At 54.6% G+C, this 17,363-nt stretch overlaps 2 pseudogenes across 2 annotated transcripts in view, besides 5 other annotated features; both read left to right on the top strand.

The window, feature by feature from the left end:
• PLEKHM1P1 (pleckstrin homology and RUN domain containing M1 pseudogene 1) overlaps positions 1-14,355 on the top strand; it is a 52,344-nt pseudogene extending 37,989 nt beyond the window's left edge. The window contains exons 7-11 of the transcript NR_024386.2: positions 1,787-1,932; positions 6,654-6,847; positions 11,885-11,948; positions 12,472-12,629; positions 13,829-14,355. The product of NR_024386.2 is annotated as a pleckstrin homology and RUN domain containing M1 pseudogene 1 (transcript). The remainder of the gene's footprint in view (positions 1-1,786; positions 1,933-6,653; positions 6,848-11,884; positions 11,949-12,471; positions 12,630-13,828) is intronic.
• Positions 641-1,141: an enhancer, noted in NCBI's record as "H3K4me1 hESC enhancer chr17:62794173-62794673 (GRCh37/hg19 assembly coordinates)". NCBI's record gives its function as "activates a minimal SCP1, AML or CMV promoter by ChIP-STARR-seq in primed H9 embryonic stem cells {active_cell/tissue: H9 hESC(primed)}" and the evidence as "EXISTENCE:reporter gene assay evidence [ECO:0000049][PMID:30033119]".
• Positions 11,821-13,020: an enhancer, noted in NCBI's record as "CDK7 strongly-dependent group 2 enhancer chr17:62782294-62783493 (GRCh37/hg19 assembly coordinates)". NCBI's record gives its function as "activates an origin of replication core promoter dependent on BRD2, BRD4, P300/CBP, MED14 and CDK7 cofactors, with strong dependence on CDK7, by STARR-seq in HCT116 cells {active_cell/tissue: HCT116}" and the evidence as "EXISTENCE:reporter gene assay evidence [ECO:0000049][PMID:35650434]".
• Positions 11,821-13,086: a biological region, named in NCBI's record as "CDK7 strongly-dependent group 2 enhancer GRCh37_chr17:62782294-62783493".
• Positions 12,586-13,086: an enhancer, noted in NCBI's record as "H3K4me1 hESC enhancer chr17:62782228-62782728 (GRCh37/hg19 assembly coordinates)". NCBI's record gives its function as "activates a minimal SCP1, AML or CMV promoter by ChIP-STARR-seq in primed H9 embryonic stem cells {active_cell/tissue: H9 hESC(primed)}" and the evidence as "EXISTENCE:reporter gene assay evidence [ECO:0000049][PMID:30033119]".
• Positions 13,458-14,217: an enhancer, noted in NCBI's record as "H3K4me1 hESC enhancer chr17:62781097-62781856 (GRCh37/hg19 assembly coordinates)". NCBI's record gives its function as "activates a minimal SCP1, AML or CMV promoter by ChIP-STARR-seq in primed H9 embryonic stem cells {active_cell/tissue: H9 hESC(primed)}" and the evidence as "EXISTENCE:reporter gene assay evidence [ECO:0000049][PMID:30033119]".
• A 2,841-nt stretch (positions 14,356-17,196) lies between the features above and the next one.
• Positions 17,197-17,363, top strand: part of ARHGAP27P1-BPTFP1-KPNA2P3 (ARHGAP27P1-BPTFP1-KPNA2P3 readthrough, transcribed pseudogene) — a 32,338-nt pseudogene continuing 32,171 nt past the window's right edge. The window contains exon 1 of the transcript NR_026899.1: positions 17,197-17,271. The product of NR_026899.1 is annotated as an ARHGAP27P1-BPTFP1-KPNA2P3 readthrough, transcribed pseudogene (transcript). The remainder of the gene's footprint in view (positions 17,272-17,363) is intronic.

Below are 17,363 nucleotides of genomic sequence, written 5' to 3'. Positions count from 1 at the left end.
TGTTGATAGGGGAGGAAATTGAAGCACAGAGCTGGTAAGTACCTGGTTGGTGTCTGCTACTGAGCTCACACAGCTAGTAAGTGGCAGAGGCAGAATTTTCCTTTTTTGTTTGTTTGTTTGTTTGTTTTAGTAGAGATGGGGTCTCCCCCTGTTGCTCAAGCTAGTCTTGAACTCCTAGGCTCAAGTGATCCTCCTGCTTCAGCCTCCCAAAGTGCTGGGATTACAGATATCAGCAACCATGCCTGGCCAGAGGCAGAAATGGGACCCTGACAGTCAGGCCCCAGAGCCTTTGCTCATAGGCAGGACCCTAGAGGGCATCCCTCTAGGGTCTTATTCAAGGTTGAGTGACATCCCCCTGCCCATGTTCCATTGTTAGCTCCTCCCACTCCCCCCACCATCCAGAGGCAGATGGCATCCCATCACCATGGGACCCTTAGGTGACCTGTGAGGGGGTTGTCCTGCTGCAGAAGGCCAGAGCAAGAAGCTGAGCCTTGGTTTGGGAGCTGTCCTGTTGGCACAGACTGGAGGGAAGCCTGTTTCAAGCGTCTGAAAGGAAGCAGTCTGCGGTTGGCCCCGGGAGGATGGGAGAAGCTAGGCAGAACAGAGCTTCCTGCAGAAAACACCTGCAAGCCTCGCTTGACCTCTCCCCCGCCTGCCCCAGCACTCACACTTTGCTCTTCAGCCTGTGGAGGCCAGGCTCTGAGGGGGCCAGGACTCCAGGGCTTGCAAGAAAGGGTTCCTCGCCTGTGGGTGTGAATGCTGCGGGGGCAACTCTCACCATGGCTGCCACCCACCAGCGGGTGGGACTGTGCCACCGGGGAGTTTGGGTTTCCTTTCTACCCAGCAGGCATGGCTCAGTGGCAGACACCAACCACTGGCATCTGGGTTGTATTTCATAATTTGCAGGGTACTTGCAGAACCTTGTCTCATTTAAGCTTTGTAATAACCCCACAAAATAGCTGGTAGTAGCTGAATTTTACAGTCACTGAAATGGAACCTTGAAGAAATCAGGTGAAGGTCAGGGTGAGGCAGCGGGTGAGGAGCAGAGCCCGCCCTCTGGTCCCAAGGCCCGGGGACCCTTCTGCCTGCCCCTGGAGGAGTTACGGCACATGTTCAGGGTTTGAGTCAGGGCCTCTGCTTTTTGCCCAGGGCACATCCCACTCCCATTCCCACTGGCCCCGGCTGTGGAGACACCTCCAACCAAGGGGGCTGAAGCCAGCCCTGCCCCACAGTCCCGAGGCATCAGATACTGTGCACGCTCCCCTGCCCCCTGCTGGCTACCCATCCACTCCCTGTTGCCAGCCCCGACCCCGGTCCCTGTCCCCCAGCTACTTCACTGCTTGCCACAGCCCCTACTCTGCTGCTTCCATTATGGGGCCCGAGTGGAGGGGTGGACCTAGAGGAGGCTGGCATTGCCAAGCCAGCAGTGGGGACACCGGACACAGGCAGCAAGGGGTAGTGGAGCAGAACTCAGGCTCTGGAACCAGCCAAACCCAGATCTGAATGCCAGCCATGCCACTTCATCACTATGTGACCAGACAGATTTCCTAACCTCTCTGAGCATCCATTTCTTCAGCTGTAAAATAATGATAGTTCTTACAGTGTGTTGTTGTAAAGATTAATTAGTAGGGGAGTTCTGAGTGGTGGAAATACGAGTGGTGGTTATTCTTGTGTTTGTGCCTACCTTAAAAAAAAATCAACCAGCAGATCCTTTCCACCACAGCAGCTCCCAAGTTACTAGGAGCTGACTCTGGCCACACCACTCACTCTCCACCCATCTCCCCAGGCTGCTCCCGGCAGATCGGCTTCTCCTTTGTACGACCCAAGCTCTGTGCCTTCTCTGGCCTCTATTACTGTGACATCTGCCACCAAGACGATGCCTCAGTGATTCCGGCCAGGATCATCCACAACTGGGACCTCACCAAGCGCCCGGTAAGTCTCGAGCCCAGCAGCCCAGCTGCTGAGGGACAGAGGGGTGTTCACTCCTCTTTGCTGCTGCTGTTCATCTGTTTAGAGGAGTTTGGCTCCTCTAAACAAGGGAAGCTGGGGTCACTGGTTCAGGCAGTGTGACGTGGGGGAGCTAACCAAGAGAAAAGCTTGGTGCCTGTCCACAGCCCTGGGCAGGGCTCTATCGGTGGCTGTCTTGGTCCCCAGGAGGAAAGAGTTTGAGGATGGTTTCCTGCAGCTACAAACATAACTGCTTAAGGCACCAGCAGATAAATGATAGATAGAAAGATAGATAAAATAGATTTGATAGATTAGATAGATAGATGGATGGTGGATGGTCAGGTAGGTAGGTGGATGAGCAGGTGGCTAGGTGGATGGTTAGGTGGCTGGGCAGGTAGGTAGGTGGATGAGCAGGTGGCTAGGTGGATGGTTAGGTGGATGGGTAGGTAGGTAGGTGAATGAGCAGGTGGTGGCTAGGTGGATGGATAGGTAGGTAGGTGAATGAGCAGGTGGCTAGGTGGATGGTTAGGTGGATGAGCAGATGGTTAGGTGGATGGGTAGGTAGGTAGGTGAATGAGCAGGTGGCTAGGTGGATGGGCAGGTAGGTAGGTGGCTGAGCAGGTGGCTAGGTGGATGGTTAGGTGGATGGGTAGGTAGGTAGGTGAATGAGCAGGTGGCTAGGTGGATGGGCAGGTAGGTAGGTGGATGGGTAGGTAGGTAGGTGAATGAGCAGGTGGCTAGGTGGATGGGCAGGTAGGTAGGTGGATGAGCAGGTGGCTAGGTGGATGGTTAGGTGGATGGGTAGGTAGGTAGGTGAATGAGCAGGTGGCTAGGTGGATGGGTTGGTGGATGGATGGATGGGTAGGTGGTTGGGTAGATTGGTGAATGGGTGGATAGGTAGGTAGATGGGTGCCTAAATAGGCATATGGGTAAATGGTTAGGTGGATGAGTGGATGGCTTGGTGGGTAGGTGGATGGGTAGGTAGATGGGTAGATGGGTGGGTGAATGGGCAGATGGCTAGATGGGTAGATGGTTAGGTGAATGGGTAGATGGGTAGGGAGATGGGTAGGTAGATGGGTAGATGGGTGGATGGTGGGTAGATGGCTGGGTGGATGGGTGAATAGGTAGGTGGATGGGTAGATGGGCTGGCCAGCGAGCTGGCTATACCTTGGAGCAGTCATCCTTGCCTTTGCCAACCCTATGAGGCCCAGGTGACTGCACTCCCCTGTAGGCCCTACATGGGCTTATTTATTTCATGTTTTTGAAAAGCACTTTTTCTGTGACTTCCCCCATTATTAAGATAATACACGGTTATTGTTTAACATTTTAAAGTTACAGAAAAACCCAAAGACCAATCAAAATTCTGTGTCATAAACAAGAGATCACCATTATTAACATTTCGGGGTATACCCTTTTCTGTGCATTTATTGACATATGCATCTTTTTTTATAAAGTTGGGATCACACAGGACTCATACTGCTTTATAAGAAGCTTGGTTCACTTAATATTATGCCTTGGGTACTTTTTTATGTTCACCAAATGCTTTTGAATAAGATGTATCTTAAAGTCTTTCAGAATTTTCCTTTTCTCCAGCTGAACTTAGCCACTTTCCTACCTGTGTTACCATGAGCAAATTAGCTTCAGTTTCCTCATCTGTAAAAGGAGGGTTAACAACAGTGTCTGTGTCGGGGTTGTTGGGAGGGCAGGTGTGGCAGTGTGTGCCTGTCAGTAAGAACAGTGTCCTTTCCCTCCCTGGGGCCTGTCACACCTCCTGCCTATGTTCACCCACCCATCCACCCATCTACCTAATTCACTTGGTTAGTGTCTGCCTCAAGGGGTACAAATTTGGTTTTCTTCCAAGGGCACAGATTTCTACTAAGACAGACACAGAAACATAAGGAAGAAGCTGTTTGCTCCTCTGGAGAGTCAGGGCCTGCCAGCTATGTAGTCCTGATGTGTGGATGTGTCTTCATCATAGTGCAGGGTGATTCTCTCAGTCAGTTCTACCTCAACCTCCACCTCCCTGGGGCAGGGGAACCCCGCAGAAGTTGGCTTCATTTTGATTTTTTTGTTGTTTGCCTTGTCCCCGCCCTTGCTCTCAGTGTTAAATATTTAACTAACTACATAGAGGAAATTAAGCCTCAAAATCACCAAAAATGCAAAGAACCCTTTGATCATAAAACACGTTAACTATTTACAGGACCCTGATACTTCCGCTGAGCCATCTCCTTATTCACTGCCCTCATCCTTGTGCCACTTCCTTTTCTAACTAGGAAAGTACAATCCTAGCTGGGCACAGCGGCTCACACCTGTAATCCCAGCACTTTGGGAGGCTGAGGTGGGCGGATCACCTGAGGTCGGGAGTTGAGACCAGCCTGACCAACGTGGAGAAACCCTGTCTCTACTAAAAAATACAAAAATTAGCTGGGCGTGGTGGCGCATGTTTGTAATCCAGCTAATCCAGAGGCTGAGGTAGGAGGATCGCTTGAACCTGGGAGGCGGATGTTGCGGTGAGCTGAGATTGCGCCATTGCACTCCAGCTTGGGCAACAAGAGCGAAACCCCACCTCAAAAAAAAAAAAAAAGAAAGAAAGAAAAGTACAATCCTTTTCTAGGCATATCTGAGATCAGGAAATCCTCAGCTCGCTCTCCCTCTCAAAGATTGCTGGCCTAGGAAAGACAGGGAAATTCAAGATAGAAAGTGGGGGGCCCACGGGTTTGGGGCCTTATTGTTCGCCGTTGCTGTTCTGGCTGACCCACTGGTGCTGAGGCCTGGCTGGCACTGGCAGGATGTCAGCCCAGGAGTGGGGCTTCTTTCTGTCTCCTCCATTCCCACAGGATAGGAACAGTCGCTGGGGAGCACAAAGCCCCTGCCCATCTGCAGTGGTTGGCAGTGTTCAGCGCACATTCCTGTGTGTTATTTCACTGGAGCCTCACCCAAGGCCTGGGGCCAAGTCATGGGAAGAGCTGAGTTAGGATTGGAGAACAGCAGCTTGACCCAAGTCACCAGGAGTTTGCCATTGGGCTGTCCCTAGGCTGGGGGGGCTGGTACCTCAGGGCCCCAGGCTTTGGGAAAAGAAGAGGTTGTCCATTGCGGGGGGAGGTGAGAGATGCTGGTGGAGCTGGGAGACAAGAGGTCAGAGGCCCCCTCAGCCCCCAAATACAGGGGCAGGTCTCCTGAGGGCCAGTTTAGTCCCCCAACCCTCAAGGGGACAACAGGGCCATACCAGGCACTCACACAGCAGCTGATAACAGCTCACATTTACTGGGGATGTGCCACCTGCCAGGCCCTAATGCCAGGAGCTCTCCTGGAATACCTCTTTTAATCTGAATTCAAAATAATCCCATGAAAAAGAAGTCCCAGTCCTGGGCTGACATCCTGCCGAGTGCCGGGCCTCAGCACTAAAGCAGCAGCAGCGAACAAAAAGGCCCCAAACCCGTGAGCCTTAATTGCTCTCATTTTCCCCATTTTACAGATGAGGAAACTGAGTCACAGAGAGGGATAAGTTTCACCAATTCATACAGGTATAAAGTGGTGGAGGCAGGATTCAATTCCATTCTGACTCCGAAGCCAGACTTTTTTTCCCCTACACAATTTATCAGAATTTGAAAAGGTTGCTGGATATAACAATCAAATAAATCAATTTCATTTCTATATATCAGCAAACAAATTACTATTTTAAAAGATAATCACTTATAATAGTATCAAAAACAAAGCCACCAGAAATAAAATATGTAACGAGAGGACTAGTTAAGATGTTAAAGATCTGAGCCAGGCCAAAGCCAGACTTCTAATCACTGTGCACTTGTCGGCTGTGGAGACAACAGCTCCTCCGTCCTTATGATGCAGCGAGGCCACTGCAGGGGAGGGGGCTTCTGATTAGTGCAGCAGCCTGGTGTTCAGAGATGACACCTCAGCTCAAACCTGGCAGGTTCTGCAGGCAGGTTGTATAAGCTACGTTAGCCCCTCTAAGCCTCCGTTTCCTCATCTAGAAAACAGGGACAGGGACACCCTCCCTAACAGGTTGTTCTGAGAATGACGGGAGGATGTGGTCAAGTTCCTGACCCAGTGTTTTGCAAATAGTAGGCGCTTGATTATTGGCATTGGTATTAGGATCAGGGCCAAGGGTAGAACCTTCAACACCCTGTCAGCCAGGAGAGACTGAGATGGATCACTCAGCTGCACACAGAGTCCCGGTGTTGCTACTGGTGTGAGCCGAGGGAGCTCAGGGAAGCCTGTTGGTGAGCTGTGTCTGATCTGTAGCTTCCTGTGGCTGGAGCCTGACTCAGCCTGTCACCTGGTTCCTGAATCAGGGCACAGAAGGGAGTGCCTGTTTCCTTTAGTGGGAGGAAATAGCGGCTGGGAGGACAGGAAAGAGTGGGAAGGATCTGTGAGGCCCAGAGGGAGGGGGCGTTATCAGAGCAGTCCCTCCCTCATCTCAGCATGATTGGGGAGGGGGCAGTGACCCTTGCCATTAGAGGGAGAGCGGGTTTGGGAGTCAGATAAACTGGGTTCAGAGCTTGACTGTACCATTTACAAGCTGGGTGACCCTAGCCAAATCTCTTCATCTCCTTGAGCCTCAGTTTCCCCATCTGTAAAATGAAGATAGCCCCTCAGGTAAGTGAGCAGGTCATGTGGCACCTGGCCAGGCAGTGCTCACTGAACAGCCATTCCTTCCCATCCCCAATGTCTGGTGGTACCCCCAGATCTGCAGGCAGGCCCTGAAGTTTCTGACGCAGATCCGGGCCCAGCCCCTCATCAACCTGCAGATGGTGAACGCGTCTCTGTACGAGCATGTGGAGCGGATGCACCTCATTGGGAGGAGCCGGGAGCAGCTGAAGCTCCTGGGGGATTACCTGGGCCTGTGCCGGAGTGGCGCCCTGAAGGAGCTCAGCAAGAGGTGAGCAACCTCTACGTGTATGCGTGTGAGTGCACGTACACATGCACATGCATGCACACAAACACATACTTATATGCACATGTACACACAGACACACATACACATGTGCACACATACCCACACACATAAATTTATACACAAACGCATAGACATCCACACCCATGCACATGTGCACAAATGTACACACATGCAGGCACTCATGCACACGCACACACACACAAGGGCAGTGCCCAGGGCAAGGCGTCCACCTAGAGGAAACCTGGGCAGAGATCTTCCCATTGGGCCTGGGAAATGATCACATCTTTTGGGGGTGATTTTGGGGTTTTGTTCATGTATCTATTTGTTCACTCAAAAACATGGACTGAGAACATACTAAGCACTGCACACCTGGCGAGGCATGTGGGCTCCAACACTGAGCAGGGCAGAGCCAGGGCTGACCCGCTGGAAGCCTCTGGCCTGGCAGGGAAGACAAGTGGGAAAGCCAGTAACTCCATCCGGGGGTGAGGGTGAGAGGGAGACAGGTGGGAAAGCCAGCAACTCCATCCGGGGCTGAGGGTGAGAGGGAGACAGGTGGGAAAGCCAGCAACTCCATCTGGGGGTGAGGGTGAGAGGCAGGACGTCCTGGAACCACAGAGGCTTGACATCCAGCCCAGATCAGAGGAGGACAAAGCAGGAAGGACTTCCTGGAGGAAGTGACTTATAAGGTGAGACTTGAAAAATTAGGAAGAATCAGAAAGGAGAAGCAAAGGGGGAAAGAGCATTCTAGACAGAAGGAATGGCACGCACAGGCCATGAACGAAGGCACCGTTGGTGGAAAGCCCAGGGAGAACTTTGGCTACAGTGACGAGGGAAGTGGGGAGTGTGGCGAGAGGCAGGCGAGGGCCAGATGTTCCCGTCTCTTCCCTGTACCAGCCAGTCGTCTGGCCCATGCCAGCCTCCCTCCTGAAATTGTCCAAAGAAGACGTGATCCGGGCGGGGCCCTCAGGATGCCCTTCAGGAAGCTTCTCTTACCCAGGGCCTGGGGCCTTTGGTGCTCAGGAATGGGATGTGATGCTGGGCTTCAACAGGGACTTAGGCCTCTCCATGTCTGTCATAAACACTTCCTAGTCCTCAGGTCACGCCCAGGCTGCAGTCTTCCCAGGGCTGTGCTCTCCCAGCACCCTCAGGAGGGCAGACCTCAGGCGGAGAAGCCTGCCGGTGCCTACTGCCCAGAATGGGCTTCAAATCCACCTCTGCTGGGTTTCTGGGGGCAGGGACCGGTTCACAAGCCCCTCCAGGTTCCCCCGTCTGGCCTTCCCTCCCCACAGGGCTGGCCCAGAGAGCGCCTCTCTGAAGACTGCCTCCTCCATCCTGGCTGCAGTGCTCCCAGAGCCGGGCCTCCTCAGGGCCAGGGTGTGCCCCAGGCAGGTCCCCAGGGGCTCTCAAGGGGTACTGCAGGGGGCTCTCCCCTAGGCAGAGAGGAGAATTTGGCCCCACAGCTAGCTGCCAGCTGAGCCTTGGTCTCCTCTGTAGGGCCTGGAAGAACAGAAAGCCTTCCAGGGACCACCATGTGGGACCCTAGACCCTAGAAGACTTCACCCCAGGAGGCTCTGCCCATCCCAAGCATCCGTGGGTGACTGGGTCTCCACCTCTTGGCAAGCGCTGACTCACTCCCTACCTCTGAGAGTCCATGACCCAGGGCTCCAGAGAGACTATCCTCCTGCCCACCTAACCAGGTGGCGAAATCTCTGGGGTCAGGTGGGGCCTTATCACCCTCCTTGGTCAAGGAGCCAGGTACCTGCACAGGCATGCAGACCTGTGTAGACCAGATGCCTGTGGGGTGGGTTGTGGACCCCAGCCCCATTCACCCATCCCTGCCCTGCTGAGAGAGTTTGTTCATCGGCTTTACAGACCTGTCTCTGTGGGCACCAGGGGCAGCCCTGTCTCTCTCTCCCTGACCCTCCTGCTCCATCCCTGGGCAGCAGCGCTGTACTCCTGCTATGTGCTCAGCCTGCTTCCCATGCCTGTGGAAGTCCCATGGAAACAGCATGGGGCAGGGGAAAGAGCGTGGGAGGCCCTCACCCACTGTGAGTCAGGAAAGTTGCTTCACTTCTCCGGGTCCAGCTTTCCCGTCTATAAAATGGGCCAGTGATTCCTCTGTTCCTGTGGCCTCCTGAGCAGTGGTGAGGGCTGCATGAGGGACCCAGAGTCTGGGCCACAGATGGCCCTGGGTCAGCATCGTGTGTGCCCTGAGGGCACCTGATCCAGCCTTGGCAGGGGCCAGAGGAGCTCCCAGAGGAGATGGCATCTGAGCTGAGGGCATGCAGAGATATTTTCCTTTTTCCTTCTAAAATGTTTTTCTTCTTTACAAAGGTCAATCTTCCAAGCGAGGAAAATTTATGAAAGGGAATAAAGCAGACCATTCAATCAGCCCTTCTCAGAGCCCACCACCACCTGCTTCTGCACCTCACTCCATCCACACACACATGTTGCCACACCAGTGGCATTGTGTGTCTGTTGAACTGGGGCTTAGAAAAATGAGAAAAGAGTAGAAAGGGCAGGGGAGAACCTGGCTTTCCTGGCTAAGAGACCGGTAGCAAGAGGCTGGCAGGAGCACAGCTCACTGACACCCTTGAGGGGCTCTGGGCAGCTGGGCTTCAGGTGCAGGGCCCAGAACTCAAAGGGCCCTCGAGGCCTTTGGATTTGATCTGCCACCTGTGGGGAACCATTGAAGGGTTTTGAGCACAGGGCTGTCACTTCCGGTCAGCGGCTTAGAAAAGACCACTCTGAAAAGACCAGGTGCGGTGGCTCATGCCTGTAATCCCAGCACTTTGGGAGGCCAAGGCAGGTGGATCACCTACGGTCAGGATTTTGAGACCAGCCTGGCCAACATAGCAAAACCCTGTCTCTACTAAAAGTACAAAATTAGCCGGGCGTGGTGGCAGGCACCTGTAATCCCAGCTACTAGAGAGGCTGAGGCAGGAGAATCACTTGAACCCAGGAGGCAGAGGTTGCAGTGAGCCAAGATCATGCCACTGCACTCCAGGTTGGGAGACAGAGCGAGACTCTGTCTCAAAAACACAAAACAAACACACAAAAAGACCATTCTGGCCCCAGCGGAGTGCAGTTGGTGAAGGGGAGAGCCCTGGGTGGCAGCTGGTGTTAGTAATTAGCCCAGGGAGCTGGGCCTGGACCGAGTCAGCCAGAGGGAAGGCTGTCCCTCCCGACAGCCGGGGAGGGGTGGGCAGAGGAGGAGCCAGGGCTCAGGAGACAGGTGGCACCCAGGCCCCCCACCCATGTCCCCCGGATCTTCCAGCCCTTGCCTGACCCTTTCCTTCCCCATCACTTCATCGGTTCCAGGAGCTAAGAGTCGACCTTTCCCCTCATCTTCCTCTCTCCCGGAGAGCCGTCCAGATTCCTCTGGTCTGTTTCCCAGGTAGCCAGCCTCACGCCAGAGGACAAAGAGGTTCTCCTTATTGTGTGGGCGGAGAAACTGAGGCCCTAAGTAGGGCTGACTGTGCCCTGGTGCATGAGAGTTTCTCTCCTGGAAGCCAGGAGGGGAAGTGGCTTCTCACCCCTGGGTCGGCGCCCTCTCCCCTCTGGCCTTGACTGAGCACTGTGGAGAAGCCAGTCACAAGCCCTTGCTGAGAGGGTGACAGGCCCAGGGCACAGGGGCTCCCAGGGCTTCCACGACTGTGGTCAGAGGACAGATGGCAAAGCTAATTCTCCATCCAGATCAGCCCACCCTCCTGCCAGCTGAGGGCCAACCTGTGTCCCCCCAGCCCGCTGTGTCCCATGTTTTCTTGGTGACAAATGGCAGCTTCCCTTCCTAGAGTGTAGGAAGTTTACTGGGGTCACCAGCATGGTAAACTGAGGGGCCAGTTGGCATCTTGGCCTGTGTGGCTGCTTGGTGAGACTCACCCTCTCCACCCCAGATTGGGCTCCCCTGGACCACAGCTGAGGCCACTAGCTGGGACAAGGCCAAGTCCCCATTCCAGATGCTCCACAGCTTGCACCTGGGAGGCCCAGACCCAGGGCTGGCACCATCCTGTCCCCAGATGTCTGGGGCATCCTGGGGCAGGTTCCCAAGCATCCTCTGACTTGGAGTAACCTCCCACCCCCAGTACCCATGTAAACACACACAGCCAGGCCAGGCAGGTTTTGTACCAGGGGACTTTCTGCAAGTGTTTCCTCTCCATCTCTCTGGATGGGGCCCGCTGGATCCCTGCCGTTGGTGTGGTGGAAACTAGAGCCGCGTTGGCAGCTGAGCCCTTGTCCTCTGCTCCCCCCGCCACCTCTGAAATGGGACTGCTGTACTTAGGACACGTCTCGGTTGCTCTCATGTAGCACTGAAACCAGACACTTGGATGTCTGTCCCTCGGCCAAACCAGGGGCCACAGGAGGGCAGAGGCCATATCCTGTGCATTACTGTCCCCAGCACTGTCCCTGGTATGTGACTTTGGCAATAATGACAACAGCCTGCATCTCTAGGCATTTACCAGGTGGACAAGGGTGCAGGCTCAGGAGCCAGGCCCCTGTGTTCAAACTCCAGCTCTCCCACCTACTAGATATGTGACCTCAGGCAAGTGACTTAACCTCTCTGTTTCCTCTTCTCAAAGTTGGGGTTGTGTTAGTACCAGCCTCACAGGATTATTGTGAGGATCAAATGAATGAGTGCGTATGAAGCTCTTAGCCCAGTTCCTGGTCCCAGATGTCAGCACCTATCCTCCTCATGATTAATTAATTAATTACATGTTTACTGTGAGCTCTGCACCAAGCCAAATGCTTTCAATAAGTTACTCAATCCAGACAACTCCATTTCCCAGAGAGGGGAACCCAAGGTTCAGAGAGCTTAAGTAACATGTCCAAGGTCCAACCAGCTAGTTAGTTACCTTGAAGACCGGGTCCCAAGCAGGCTGAATTGTGCTCCTAGGCCCTGCCCCGCCCAGGCGGGAGGTGTCTGCCTGGTGAGCAGCGCCAGGGGAATGAAAATAAACAACACGGGCTGGCCTGGGTCTTCGAAACTTTTCTAAAGAATCGCTTGTGTTTTGTTTGAAGGCTCAACCACCGGAATTATCTCTTGGAGTCTCCGCATAGGTTCCGTGTTGCTGACCTCCGGCAGGTGAGAGTGTCATGCCTACCCCGCCCAGAACTCTAGAAAGACTTCATTCCTGGAGAAGTCAGCAAGGAAGATGGGAGAGAGGGTGTCTGTAGTTTACTGAAGAAGACAGCAGTCTGCAGCTTTTCTGCAGCTCAGGGTGGGTTGCCCTGCTGCCCCAGCTTCCTGGGCAGGGACGGATACCCCCAGCACCCCTGAAATAAAACTCCAGCAACCCCAGGATCGTAGGGAAGAGAGTTTGGAATACTCCTTTCCCCAAGGGGAGGGTACAGTGGATTTGGGTCTCATCTATAAATCCCATAAGCCCCGAGTGACCTCAGTACCCACGGGCTGGATGCTGCCACTACTCAGCCTGATTCAGGGAGGTTTTCTTTTCTTGCCCGCATGGAAACTGGGGGTAGAAGTTCTCTAGGCAGGGTGCCATGGCGACTCAGTGCAGCTGCTTGAAAGGCCTGGGGCCTCAGTTTACCAGCCCTCCGCAGATCGCAGACGGGGTGTATGAAGGATTCCTACTTACCCTCCGCAGATCGCAGATGAGGTATATGAAGGATTCCTCAAGGCCCTGATTGAATTTGCCTCCCAGCATGTCTACCACTGCGACCTGTGCACCCAGCGCAGCTTCATCTGCCAGATCTGCCAGCACCACGACATCATCTTCCCCTCTGAGTTTGACACCACAGTCAGGTATGCGGGACACCCAGCCAGCTGCCTCCCAGCCCTACCCTTCGCCACACCCACAGCCTGGCCCAAGCACGCAGGGCAGCAGGCTTCGCTCTATGGGCAGGAATGTATTGAACATCTGCTTTGTGCCGTGCCAAGGGGCGGTGCAGTTGTTCAGGGCAGCCCACGCCCTGGGCAGTCATGGCCAGCTCTGGACCAGTTCAGGGGGCAAGACAAGCTCTCCCAGGACTCCTCTGCCTCTACAGAACCATCTGTCTTCCTAAAGAAGAGGTGGCTGCCGGCTCTCTGAGTGGAGCCTCCTGGGGTCTCAGTGTATGCATGGGTTGAGGAGGGTTGTATGAGTTACCGCCCTGCACTGTTGGCATAAGACCAGGCACAAAGTGGGCACCTGGTGGGTGGTAGCTGCCACTGCCACTGCTACTGCCTCGGTTGCTGAAATGATCCCTCTTGTTCCCAGTTATTGCTCATTATCAGCAACCTCTCAATGGAAAAATTCATCCAGACCTTCCTGCAACCCATGTGGGAGTGGAAAACTGAACTGGGAACATTAGTTCTTTTTTTATCGGTGTCCACTGGCCGGGATTCAGCCCTGAATGGGCCTGGGAGTGAGTTTTTAAAATTATACAGTCTTGGCCGGGTGCGGTGGCTCACGCCTGTAATCCCAGCACTTTGGGAGGCCGAGGCGAGTGAATCACTTCAGGTCAGGAGTTTGAGACCAGCCTGGCCAACATGGTGAAACCCCGTCTCCACTAAAAACACAAAAGTAAGCCAGGTGTGGTGGTGGGCACCTGTTATCCCAGCTACTTGGGAGGCTGAGGCAGGAGAATTGCTTGAATCTGGGAGGCAGAGGTTGCAGTGAGCCTCACACCAGTCTGGGCAACAGAGCAAGGCTCTGTCTCAAAAATAAATAAATAAATAAGTAAATGCTTTTTAAAATACAGGTAAGAAATCTTTAATGAATCTCAAGCAGCATTTATAAAAAATGCAGTAGGACAGAGAATATCAGTGTGCATTGTGTGACGTATGGGTAAGCACTGTTTCGAGAATCTCCTGTTCCGGGATGGAAAGGCACAGCGTGCGTGCATGGGTTACACAGTATGTCACAGCCATATCGTGGGTTCTGGTCAAAAGTGCTGGCCAGCGTGGCCACAGGTCAACCTCCAGCCCAGCCGGCACCAGCAGGTGTGCTGCTCTCTCCCCAGGTGTGCCAAGTGCAAGACCGTCTTCCACCAGAGCTGCCAGGCTGTGGTGAAGAAGGGCTGCCCCCGCTGTGCTCGCTGACGCAAGTACCAGCAACAGAACGTTTTCGCCTGATGCCCCTCTGCTGATCCCACTCTGAAGGCCGGGGGTGAGTGTGGCTCAGCCATCCCAGCTGGGTTTCCTATCAGCCCAGGATACTCACCGTGTCACAGCTGTGTCCCCTTGTCAGGAAGACCTCAGATGTGACCAGAGCACTGGCCTCCTACAGAAAGCCCAGGAAGTCCCCATGATGTCCCCTGGCCCTCCCCCCACCCCTCTGCTGCAGGAGGCGTGGCCACCACCAGATGCTCCCTGTCTGGGGCAGGCAGGGCCGTTTACTCACCAGGCCCTGGCTCACCAGCGTCCCGGCGCCTCCGTTAGGGCTGGCCAAACACTGTGGAAAGGGGACTTGGGGAACATTTTCAATTCCACATTCCTGATTAAAAGGTCTGGTTTTTTAAGGTGGGTTTTTCCCATTCATATTTCAACAGAAAGTATTTTTTATTCTTGACCGTATGCGAGTCACCCATGAAATCCAGACATTTTCACCCCCAGCGGATGCACAGGAGCCTCTCAGGCCTGTCCTAGAGGCAGCGGGTGGCTGTTGGGCAGGCCACTGCTGGGACAGGGCCTGTGGGCCCACCCAGTGCCTTTCCTGGCCCTCACTGCCAGTGCCAAACCGCCCCTCAGCAGGGCAGGGCCAGTCCTGGTGACCCCACTTCCTCTCTGTCTCCTCTTTACTCCCCACCCCAGTGCGTCTCACCTGCTGAGCCCACCCCTTTCTCAGCGTCAGAGCCCCTAGCTCTTCTCTAGCCTGGGGCCTTGGCCCCATTAGGAGAAGGAGAAATGACTGGAAACCAGCACTTTCAGCACTATGAGCCCTCCTCGGTTTAGGGAGGGTCGCCGTCTTGCCCACCCCCAATCCCCGTGCCCTCCTCACCCCTCTACAGACAGGGGCACTGCTGCAGATGCTCCAGGCCCACCTTGGTGGGTGCCCGGGGTCACCCTCTCTGCCTGACTGACCCCTGCCAGGGCACAGATAGGCAGGACCCTAGAGACAGCAGGCAGCTGGGCCCTGCACTGTGGAGAAATGACCTGGTCCTTCGCCCTAAGCTGTGCAGGGCATGCGGGGGAGCTGCCCTGTGGATGCAGCCGCCGCCTCACAAAGCTATGAATTCCCAAAGCATCACTGAACTTGCCCAGCCAGGACACTGGAGACTGAAGAACTTCCCCGGAGCAGGACTGCCTTTGAAGGGGCCTTGGTGCTGGGGTGGGAGCCTGGAATTGTTTTTGAAGTGAAGTTCAGACCCTCCAGGCTTCAGGGAAATGTGGGTTTGCTGGTCTCTCTGTCGCCTTCTCCCACCTCTCCTGGACCCAGCGGGCCCTCAGTCCTAGCTGTCTTACCTGCGCTCAGCTTGGAGTCTGAGGCCTCAGGTGGAGATCCACCTGTCACTGTCAGAGATGAGCCCACCCCCACCCCTCCCTGGGGGTGATCAGCTGCTGAGTCACCCACCCAGCTTTGGAGCTGGATGCCTGTGCAGAACAGAGGTGGCGGTGGCAGGCAGGTGGAGGCTGTGCATAGCTTCTCCCGGTCATGGCGCACACCTGTGCCCAGATGCCAATACCTCCTAAGCCAGGAGCTGGGTTATGCACCTGCCATGACCACAAGCCTGGCCTGGTCAGAGCCCTCATTGCCCCATCCCTGAGTGGGCAGGAGTCTGGCCTGGGGAGGGCTTAGGCCTGTGAGGATTCTTCCCGAAGGCGCCCTTGGAAACAGACTAATTCTCAGGGAAATCAGATTGCGGTAAAATGGGATGGAAACAGACAACATTCAGATCTGCGATTTCCTGTCCTTGAAGGCCCCTTTCAGATTACAAGTTGGCACCCTCTGCCCATCTAGGTGCCACAGCTTCCCCCAAGGACAATAGATGGTAGGGCCAGAGAAGAGAAGAGAAACTGGGGGAGGGAGGCCCAGTGGAGGGCCATGGCACATGACCTGGTTCTGCCCTGCCAGTGGGCTCAGCCCCTCTCCATCCTCAGCCAAGCGCCTCTGAGGGCACTTGTTTCCCCTTCTCACCCATGTTTTTTTGAGACGGAGTCACTCTGTCACCCAGGCTGGAGTGCAGTGGTGTGATCTCGACTCACTGCAACCTCCGCCTCCCAGGTTCAAGCAATTCTCTTGCCTCAGCCTCCCGAGTAGCTGGGACTTCCCCTTCTCTTCTGCCTGAAGGAGGACGGGTGGTTTGGAGATTCCAGTCCAAACCCCAAGAGCTCATCACATAATAAAAGTGTCATAATAGCTGATATAGGCAGGCACTGTGGCTCACGCCTGTAATCCCAGCATTTTGGGAGGCCGAGGCAGTCAGATCATTTGAGGTCAGGAGTTCAAGACCAGCCTGGCCAATATAGAGAAACCCCGTCTCTGCAGAAATACAAAAATTAGCTGGGCATGATGGTGGGTGCCTGTAATCACACCTACTCAGGAAGCTGAGGCAGGAGAATCACTTCAACCCAGAGACAGAGGTTGCAGTGAGCCGAGATTGTGCCACTGCACTCCAGCCTGGGCGACAGAGCCAGACTCCATCTCAAAAAAAAAAAAAAAAAAAAAAATAGCTGATATATGGTGTACGCTGGGCATGTGGTAAGCACTGCTTAGTGGATCTCATTTAATCTTCCCAATAATCCAGTGAAGTGGGTGTTACTATTGATAGGAAAGAAAGCTGAGCTGCAGAGATAAGGCAGAACTCCCAAGGCCTACCAGCCGCCAAGCAGCAGAGTGGGGCATCATACCTGCCTGACCCCACGCAAAGACCATCACCACTGCCAGCCGCTGCCTGGCTGTGCTGCAGGTGGGGAGAGACCTAAAAGGTAGGGAGGGAGAGAAGATTCCTCCAGTCACTATTTTCTAAGCATGTCGGGCACCAAAGACCAATGCTGAGTTCTGCTGTGTGCCCACCCTGGAGGGTCCCAAAGTGCCACCAGGCCTCAGACACACTGAGATTCTCAGAGGAAGTGTAGACTCACGGGTGGGCAACGCCTAGCAGGGGCAAAGATACAGAGGTAAGGGAGTTCCAGAACGAGTGTGGCCAGATTCAGCTTCCCATCCAACCCTGGGCCCCCAGGAGGTGGAGTCAAGAGGGGCCATGGCCTGGGGTGTGGGCTTCTCTTCGTCCCAGAACACTGGCCTGAATCAGCCAGCTCTCCGCACACACAGCCACGTCCATAGGCACAACTGTTTCTGGGGGCCCCTGAGGGCAGGGGGTCTGCTAGGGCTGTGGTTTGTGACGTGTGGAGTGAGCGCAGGCTCAGATCAGGGCGAGGCAGCTTGTCCAGAGAGGCAGATAATTCCCAAACAGAAGACCCCCAAGGCGGAGGGCCCTGGGGCTGGACTCCTGGCCCCCAGGAGGTTGTTCTGAGCTTACCCTGTGGACGGATTGGAGGGTGGACCTCTTTCCCCGCAAGGGTCAAGAGGGAGTGGGGGATGGTGGGAAGGCAATC

The sequence above is a fragment of the Homo sapiens genome, chromosome 17 (genome assembly GCF_000001405.40).
Source record: "Homo sapiens chromosome 17, GRCh38.p14 Primary Assembly".
Taxonomy (NCBI): Eukaryota; Metazoa; Chordata; class Mammalia; order Primates; family Hominidae; genus Homo; species Homo sapiens.
Note: the sequence above shows the minus strand (reverse complement) of the source record. Positions and strands in the feature narration are given on the sequence as shown.